General features: G+C 49.6%; 4 annotated features.

The window, feature by feature from the left end:
* Nucleotides 3,588–4,087: an enhancer, noted in NCBI's record as "H3K27ac hESC enhancer chr4:153913429-153913928 (GRCh37/hg19 assembly coordinates)". NCBI's record gives its function as "activates a minimal SCP1, AML or CMV promoter by ChIP-STARR-seq in primed H9 embryonic stem cells {active_cell/tissue: H9 hESC(primed)}" and the evidence as "EXISTENCE:reporter gene assay evidence [ECO:0000049][PMID:30033119]".
* Nucleotides 4,088–4,589: an enhancer, noted in NCBI's record as "H3K27ac hESC enhancer chr4:153912927-153913428 (GRCh37/hg19 assembly coordinates)". NCBI's record gives its function as "activates a minimal SCP1, AML or CMV promoter by ChIP-STARR-seq in primed H9 embryonic stem cells {active_cell/tissue: H9 hESC(primed)}" and the evidence as "EXISTENCE:reporter gene assay evidence [ECO:0000049][PMID:30033119]".
* Nucleotides 4,088–5,316: a biological region, named in NCBI's record as "P300/CBP strongly-dependent group 1 enhancer GRCh37_chr4:153912200-153913399".
* Nucleotides 4,117–5,316: an enhancer, noted in NCBI's record as "P300/CBP strongly-dependent group 1 enhancer chr4:153912200-153913399 (GRCh37/hg19 assembly coordinates)". NCBI's record gives its function as "activates an origin of replication core promoter dependent on BRD2, BRD4, P300/CBP, MED14 and CDK7 cofactors, with strong dependence on P300/CBP, by STARR-seq in HCT116 cells {active_cell/tissue: HCT116}" and the evidence as "EXISTENCE:reporter gene assay evidence [ECO:0000049][PMID:35650434]".

The following is an 8,465-nucleotide window of genomic DNA, read 5'->3' as shown; positions in this document are numbered from 1 at the left end:
GGGGAAGGAGGACTGCCGAGGCTGCACCTGCGTTCAACTTGGCCACCTGGCCATGGATCTGAGGTCAGGGGACAAAAGAGGGATTCAGAGGAAACAAACAAACAAACCGAGCTGTTGGGGATAGGGGGCCCGTGGGAGGAGGAGGAGAAGAGAGACCTGAGGCACTGGTAACCCCGAACACTTTCCCAGAGAGCAGCAGAGCCTGAAAGTCCAGTTTGGTGAATGGGTGGAGAGGAGAAGAAAATTTCTCTTCAGCAAAGTCAACGTTGAAGTAAGCAGAAAGATAATTATTTCTCCCTCAGGTAATGCGGCTTCCTCAGTATGGTGTAGTCAAGATGGCCCTACTAATTTCAGAGGCTGCGTTTAGGTTTCCATTTCAGGAGAGGGGAAAGAAGAGGCTCCCCTGTCATGGCCGGTGAGCACAAGAACAAAGCGAAGCCATCCTCCCCATGTGTGGGTGTCCCATGGAAGTGCTCTGCCAGACAGCTGCGCCTGCCCCCTGGCTGGGCCACATCCTCTCTGTCCTGAGGATGGGGACAGCCATGCAACCTGGATAACCTTTCCCAGGGTCTAAGTGGGCAGGACATGTCTTCCGTCTTCCAGGCAAGGCTGACAGTCGGCCCCGTGGCCTTTTCTCCTTTTTGGAAAACAACTTGCTGATGGTTGCTTGCTTTACGAGACTGGGGACCCCTATTCCACAGGGGAGGCACTTCTCTGGCTCAGAAGGGCTCTCTCACTCTTTGCCCCGGTGACACCCTATTCACTGGGACTGCAGATCCTCAGTTCTCTGGACACCCAGGGCTACACATTTCTATAGCTTTCCATGAATGTGTGTGAAGCAGTGACCCTGGGCTTCCAAGGCTGCCCACCCCGTCTCCACTCAGATGGCCCCAGGTGCCCAGGGCCACGCCTCCTCCCTCTGCTCCTGCTGCCCATCTCCCTTCACCACAGCTGCCGGGGACAGAGCTTCAGCTTCTGTCACCTCTACCAACGTCATAGCCTCACAATCCCTGCCTGCCCTCAGAGTCTTTCCTCACCAGAAACCTCCAGAGGATCTTCTCAAGTGCAAATGTGTTCTTTCCCCCTCTGTTCTTTGATGAATTATTGCCCCCAGGATATGCTCTGCCTCCCTCCCTTCCCCCTGCAGCCTCACCTCCCTGCGCCCCAGCCCATCACCACCCAGCCTCTGGGCCTCAGCCTCCTGCTCCAGAAACTCAGGACCCTCACGCCACCTGAAGGCGCTGTGCTGTCCTCACTCAGACCTCCACATGGTGGCCCTGGCTCAGATGGCTCTTCACCGCTGCCCTCCTGACAGAATTCAGCCCCAAGAGTCCCCCTCCTCAATGCTGCCCGAGTTAACCAGCACTTCTTCTCTGCCTCCAGTGTCCCAGGTGACGACATTGTCATTAAAAAAAAAACTCTTCTTTACGCATCGCAATGACTTATTTTCACAACCCCCTCCCCCACTGGACAGTGATTCTTGAGAGTTTCGGAAGCCCACATGCTACCACAGGGTTATCACATAATTGATGCTCAATGAAAGAGAGAGGAAAGAAGAGAGAGGGAAGAGGAAGGCACCAGGTTAGATGCTAAACTTGTGGTTAAAAGCTTTCCTAAGTCAGGCGTGGTGGCTCATGCCTGTAATCCCAGCAATTTGGGATGCCAAGGCTGGTAGATCACCTGAGGTCAGGAGTTTGAGACCAGCCTGGCCAACATGATAAAACCCCATCTCTACTGAAAATACAAAAATTAGCTGGGCATGGTGGCAGGTACCTGTAATCCTGGCTACTTGGGAGGCTGAGGCAGGAGAATCACTTGAACCTGGGAGGAGGAGTTTGCAGCGAGCCAAGATCACGCCATTTCACCCCAGCCTGGGTGATAGAGTGAGACTCCATCTCAAAAAAAAAAAAAAAAAAAAAAAGCAGGTGAAAGTTGTGTCTGAGGCTCAGAGCTGTGTCTGGGATGAGACAAGGGAGACCCTCATTCCCAGGTCTTGCCTATGCAGATGGGCACCAGAGAGTGAGGGCTCCTTAAGCTTTGTGGCCTGGACACTGCTCTTCCCTCCCTAGTCCCTGGAGGCTTCATTCATATTTGTCACAGCTCAAGCTCACTCACTGATTTATAAAGCCACTGGCTGTTTGCTGGGCATCTGCTGTGTTAGCTCTGTCTCAGGCATGGGGCATAATAAAACTGTGGGTGAGAAAGCCACCGTGCTTGCCCTCGGAGAACTCATGGTCTAGGAGGAGAGACAGACAGTCAAACAGTAAATCATTTCACCTTTAACTCAAACCATGATGCGGGCTATAAAGTAAGGGGATGCACAGCTCTTAAAATAGGATCCAGTGAAAAAACTGTGCCTTCCCCAGAGGAGAGAATCTGGAACCAGCACCAAACAACTCAGCCAGACAATGGCTCCTGTTCAGCAGGCCCCTCTCCAGCCTCTCCCTCCCCAACATTGTGCCGCCATCTCCTCTGCCCTGACCCCTAGAGCCATCTAGTCAGGACACTGCACATACCTCTGCCTTATGAGGCAGCAGCTCCCAAGAGACTCTCTTTGAGGTCTTTAAGGGGATGATGTGGAAATGTTCACAGTGGTGCTATGTGTGCTACATGGTATATAAGTAACATAGGTGTCCAGCGTGAGAGAAATGGATAAAAACAATGTGGTTAACCCATACCAAAGAATTATATGCATCAGGCCGGGCGCGGTGGCTCATGCCTATAATCCTAGCACTTTGGGAGGCCGAGGTGGACGGATCACCCGAGGTCAAGAGTTCAAGACCAGCCTGGCCAACAAGGTGAAACCCCTGCCTCTACTAAAAATATAAAAATTATCCAGGCATAGTGGCACACACCTGTAATCTCAGCTACTCAGGAGGCTGAGACAGAAGAATCACTTGAACCCAGGAGGCGGAGGTTGCAGTGAGCCGAGATTTCGCCACTGCACTCCAGCCTGAGCAACACAGCAAGACTGTCTCAAAAAGAGAAAAAGAGAATTCTGGCAGGGCGTGGTGGCTCACACCTGTAATCCCAGCACTTTGGGAGGCTGAGGTGGGCGGATCACAATGTCAGGAGATCGAGACCATCCTGGCTAACACGGTGAAACCCCGTCTCTACTAAAAATATAAAAAAATTTAGCCAGGCGTGGTGGCTGGCTCCTGTAGTCCCAGCTACTCGGGAGGCTGAGACAGGAGAATGGCGTGAACCCAGGAGGTGGAGTTTGCAGGGAGCCGAGGTCACCCCACTGCACTCCAGCCTGGGTGACAGAGCAAGACTCTGTCTCAAAAAAAAAAATTCTATGCATCAGTAAGAATTAACAAGATTAACAAGCTAGATGTACACACAGCAACGTGGAAGGATCATCAAAACAGAGTGCAGAGTGAAGAAACTGAATGAGATTTGCAACATGCTACCATTTATGTAAATTTAAAACATACCCCAAACTGTGCTACGTATTTTACAAGGATATATCTATAGATAGATATACATACACACACACACACACACCCACATATATAACCACACATATCTAAGAACAGATATCAAATACATTGTGGTGGGTGCCTGCTGAGAAGAGGAGACTAGGGATAAAGGGGGAGAATAGAATAATACTTGGCATGGAAGGGCTTTGCACAGACTGATGACAACTGTGCACCAAGAATGGAGGCATGTGGTCAGCTTCCTCTTCTGCTCCTGCAGTCCAGCACAAAATAAGACAATGCAAACCCAGCCCACCAGCCTGTACAAATGCTGACTGCATGGGCATGGTGATTTCATTCCATTCTTTTCAGGGAACTTAGAAATTACTCTGACCCAATTTCTTACTTTTGGGTTAAGGAACTCAAGGCCCAGAGAAGGCAGGTGAGTTGCCCCAGTCACACGGCTCCTTGGTGGCAGGAGAAGATTCTAGCCCCCAGCTGACACTCCCTGTGTCCCATCCTCTGCCTGGTTCCATTTTCTGACCGCTCGGCCTAACATTTCCACAATGTTTGTTTAAAGGGCTTGGCCGTGTTTATCTCAGCACATGAGTGCCCAGTCTGAAGTCACGCACTGGCATTAGCTGGCCTTTCCTATGTGAAGTTCAAGGTGAAGGCCTCCTAGGGGGCAGGAGGCACAGGTACTACTTCATGTTTGTTGTTTAGTGTTTTTTCTCTTTCCAGGACAACTGCCTCAAACCTCAGATGAGCTCATTGACTCACCTGGGCAGGTAAGCACAGAACCTGGAGGAAATGACGGCTCTAATGGGAGTGCATGCTGGCTGGAGGAAATGACGTCATTGCGGGGCTGAGGGCCTTTAGAGGCCCAATCTTTCCCACAGCCTTTTCAGCATTCGCTCTGAGCACAACACGTCCAGAAGCCTCTGCAGAGTGTGGGTATGATGTGTTGATGTGCTGAAGTCAAAAGTTTTGCTGGAACCCATGGACCCATAAAGCTGCTGGCAAGGAAATTGAGCAGGGTATTAATGTGGGCAGTTGGTCAAGGTTTATGACAGGACTTTTCCTGAAGCAGGGGTCTGAACGGTAAGTGTCAGAGTGCCTCTCAAAGAAGCAGCCTTCAAAATGGGTTTCCATCATGAATGCCCCCAAATCCTGCATGGCCCTGTTGTGTGTGTGTTTTTTTTTTATTAAAACACTGTATATATACATAGAAAAAATTGTACATATTGTAAAGATGAAGTTTCGCGAATTGCACACGCCCAAGTAATCAGCATCCAGATCATGCATGACACAGGCCATGCCAGACCACAGAACCCCTCCCCCCACATCCCTCTTTCCCTGCCCTGTGTCCTTTTCAGGTCACCACCTGGCCTCCTGACTTCTAACAGGACAGATGTGTTTTGCATCCCTAGTTTCAACTCCCTGGGGACCAGAGTCAGCAGATGTCAGCAGACAAGATAACCTGTGCTACTTGATTTAGCTCCAAATGTTTGGGGTTCCAACTGACTTGGAGTCTGAAGCTCTTAGAAATTCCATCCTGACGTAGATGGGACATGCCACCAGTTCTATTGGTTACTGGACTGAGTTGGAATTGAGGGGTTGGAAAATTTCTCAGGGAGGCCAATTTATCAACCAGCAGAATGAAGAAAGAAACAGCTAGGTGAACCTTTTTTCCTGATGGCTATGTTTACACTCAGGTTTATGAACATCTGAGTGTATGTTTATAAATATATGCTATAAACATATAAATATCGGAGCAATGTTATTTTGAATCTACAGCAAAATAACATTCAGAGTTAGCTCCTGGGAAGAATATTATGTGGTTAAAACCACTATTTGGTTCCAATATGCCACCTGTCACTCAAGATTAAAGCCCTTTTAAAATGAGCTCCCTTCACCGTACTACACTCCAGTGAGATAGGCAGGTGGCAAGCCGTCTTTCCATTCTGGGCTGCAGAGGCACAAAGAGAACGAGTGGCTTGCTTAGTCACTAAGTCCCACAATGAGTTAGCAGAAACCTGGACAATCAGCCAGGAACCCAGGCTGGCTCCCAGCTCGCCCCGCACCATCTGACATCCGTGAGCAGCATCCAACAGGCTGAAGCTCTGTGCTGAGCCACCGGAGCCATGCTGGGAGGGCCACAGGTTTGAAATGTGATAGAGGTCCCTGGGAGATTCCTGGTCCTTTCCTCCAAGAAGCCTCCATGGTGACAAGCCTTAGAGATGTGTTTCATTGTTAGAAACAGCCAAACAGTGTACCCTTATGTGAGAAGCAATGGTCTGGTATGCTCAAAGTACTTGGAGAACTTCTCTTTTGGAAATTCCTTTGGTGCTGGATGATAAGCCATCATTATTTTATCTTACGGTTGTATCTCATTTGTGATGGAACAGGGGTGTAAGCCTGTCTGACTAGCCACCATTTTTCTGACATGTGTCCCCATCAGGGAACAAAGTGCCAGCCATTGTCATGAAGCATACAGGAAATAGTCGCAGAACAGACTTCCCTAATAATTCAATTGACCATTTATTGAGCACTTCCTATGCACCACTTAAATAACCACCCCAAAAGGTAGGCATGGTTTTTACTGTTTTACAGATGAGAACCTGTGACTCCCCAAGGTAACCCAATCAGTAGGTGCAAAGTTGGGATTTCAATCAGGTCTGTCTTGTTCCAAAGCTCATGCCATCACCCATCAGTATTCACAGGTCCTCAAAGAGGCCCCAGGGTTCTGGAAGGGATCACAAAGAGCAGCGAGGGAAGGGCTGTTCGAGACCCTTCTAGGAGATGGGTGGAGGCTACTGGCATAAGATGTGAGCACTGGAGCAGAGGGGTGGGCCGCAGTGGGGGTCAACACCCTAACACTCTTACCAAGAACTGTGCTATGAGAATCAAAGAACTTCAGCCCTGATGGGAACTTAGGCATTGAGCCCACCTCCCTTGGAAGAATGAGGAAACAGACATTTAGAGAGGATGTGTGACTGCCCAGGTCAGCCCACGACAAGGCCAGGAGGTTTCATGAGCTCCAGGCCTCTGCTCCTTCCCTAACATCTCGTGGCATCCTCTTTGCTAGTGCTCCACAGTCACCGGAGCACTAAATGTCTCCTCCCCTCCTGTCTTGCCTTCTTCACAGCTGGGGTGGCAGCATCAATGTGGGTGGAGGACACACCAGTGCAGGTGGTGCCTGGGAAGCAGGTGATCCCAAGGTGGAGTCCTGGGCCCCAGAGACAGAGCCTCCCTGTTCTTCCTTCTTCTGCTGGGCTTTATTGACCTTAAGGGAGAGCTCTGGGCACAGTGTGTTCCCTTGACCTTTCCCTGAAGGGACACAGTGCCTGCTGCTATGTAGATGGCACCTTCCATTCTTATAAGTGTTGGGCAAACATTCTCCGGGAGGGAGGGATGCCAAGAGTCCTGGGTGGGAGGGGTTCCCCTGAAGACTTTGGCCTTGAGGATGAGATCATGGGCTTTGGAAGCAAATGCATTTTATAGATCCAATAAATTAGACACAATCTGGCTATTAATGTGCTGTCAGGTGTCATGGAACCATGCCTTGCTTTCTCCAGTGGAGGAGGAAGCAGAAATAGAGGCATAGCTGGGTTCAATGACCTACCCAAGGTCACCAAGCAGATACAGGTGACATCAAGGCATCAAAGGTCACTGCCTTGAGTCATTAGGCTGCTGTGACTCCCCACCTGATGCATACAAGTCTCTACATCCATCTCTGTCTGGCAGGCAGAACTCCAGGGGTGCATTTCCAACTGAGAAGTTGCCATGTCTGTGCTATGACCTAGAAGAGTGATAATGGCAAACACTTATACTGTTTCAACACATTTAGTCATTTAACCCTCTCAATTGCTCTGCGATTATATACAGCTATTGTTCCCAAGCAGAGATGTTCAGCAATTTGCCTAAGGCCAAATAGCTAATAAATGGCCTAGTTGGCCCTACCTAGCTGCTGGTAGAGGGCAAGCACCCAGCTTGTCCATTTCCCAATATTGCCTGGAATATGGTGAGCTCTCTGCAAACTACAGATGTGGGACATGCCTTGAAATGCACAATGGCTGCTCCTTCCTGCTCAGGGCTTGAGGGTGTGGCGTAGGGGCATTCAGAACAGGTGGAGGCAGCCGCCTGCAGGGGGGCTGTGGCCACTCCAGCTGCCTCCTGACAAGCCTGAGGATTTCTGGGATGCCATGAGTTTGCCATTCCTCTCAATGTAAAGCCTAGATTAGGTGACTGGGGCACTTGGTGCTCTCTTTATCTTTGCTCTTGTCCCTTTTCTGGCCTCAAAGGACCCTCCCCTACCAGAAGCCATTTCTTTGCTCCCTCTATGGGAGCTTTCAACAGAAGCCCTGGGTGCTGTCACCTTTTCCCGCCGAGGCCAAGCCCAGGCAGAGGCAGAGATCTGATCATGAGCAGGGCCCTGGGCAGTGGGTCTTGATCATGTGATCCCCCAGGACCAGGGAGATCCCAGCGTCTTCCCTTCGTGTATTCAATTCCATCAGCCTGCACACGGTGAGCACCCACTTAATGCTGGCCCTCACTGTGTCCTGGAGAGCTTCACAGATGAAAAAATATACCCCCTCAACACACACACACCCTGAGAAGGTCACTGCCCAGTTCAGCAGCCAAACAAACAGAACAACTGTCGAGCCAGGCAAGTGGGGATCAGTGTGATGACCCCAGGTGCTCCAAGAGCTCAAGAGAGGGAAAGATCTATTCCAAGGCCAGGGGTCAGAGGAAAGATGATGGAGGGAAGCATTTGAGCTGGCTGACGCTTTTCATGTTGCTTCTCTGAGCTTTCACTTGTCATTATTGTAAATTCTCATCATAAGTTTCCATATTTTCTTATAATCGAATTCGTTATGTTTGTAATTGCCAGTTTTAAGTTGGCTTTAAAAAACCACACCATCAGTCTAGTTTGTGAACGCATGGCTCCCCTGGGGCCTTGCTACCAATGAGCTGCCTTTTGTTAATGCCATTTTAACATTACTTTTATTTTCTGATTTTTAAAAATTTAACCGTAATTCTCAT

This window comes from Homo sapiens, chromosome 4 (assembly GCF_000001405.40).
Source record: "Homo sapiens chromosome 4, GRCh38.p14 Primary Assembly".
Classification (NCBI taxonomy): Eukaryota; Metazoa; Chordata; class Mammalia; order Primates; family Hominidae; genus Homo; species Homo sapiens.
This window is presented reverse-complemented; position numbering and strand designations above follow the sequence as displayed.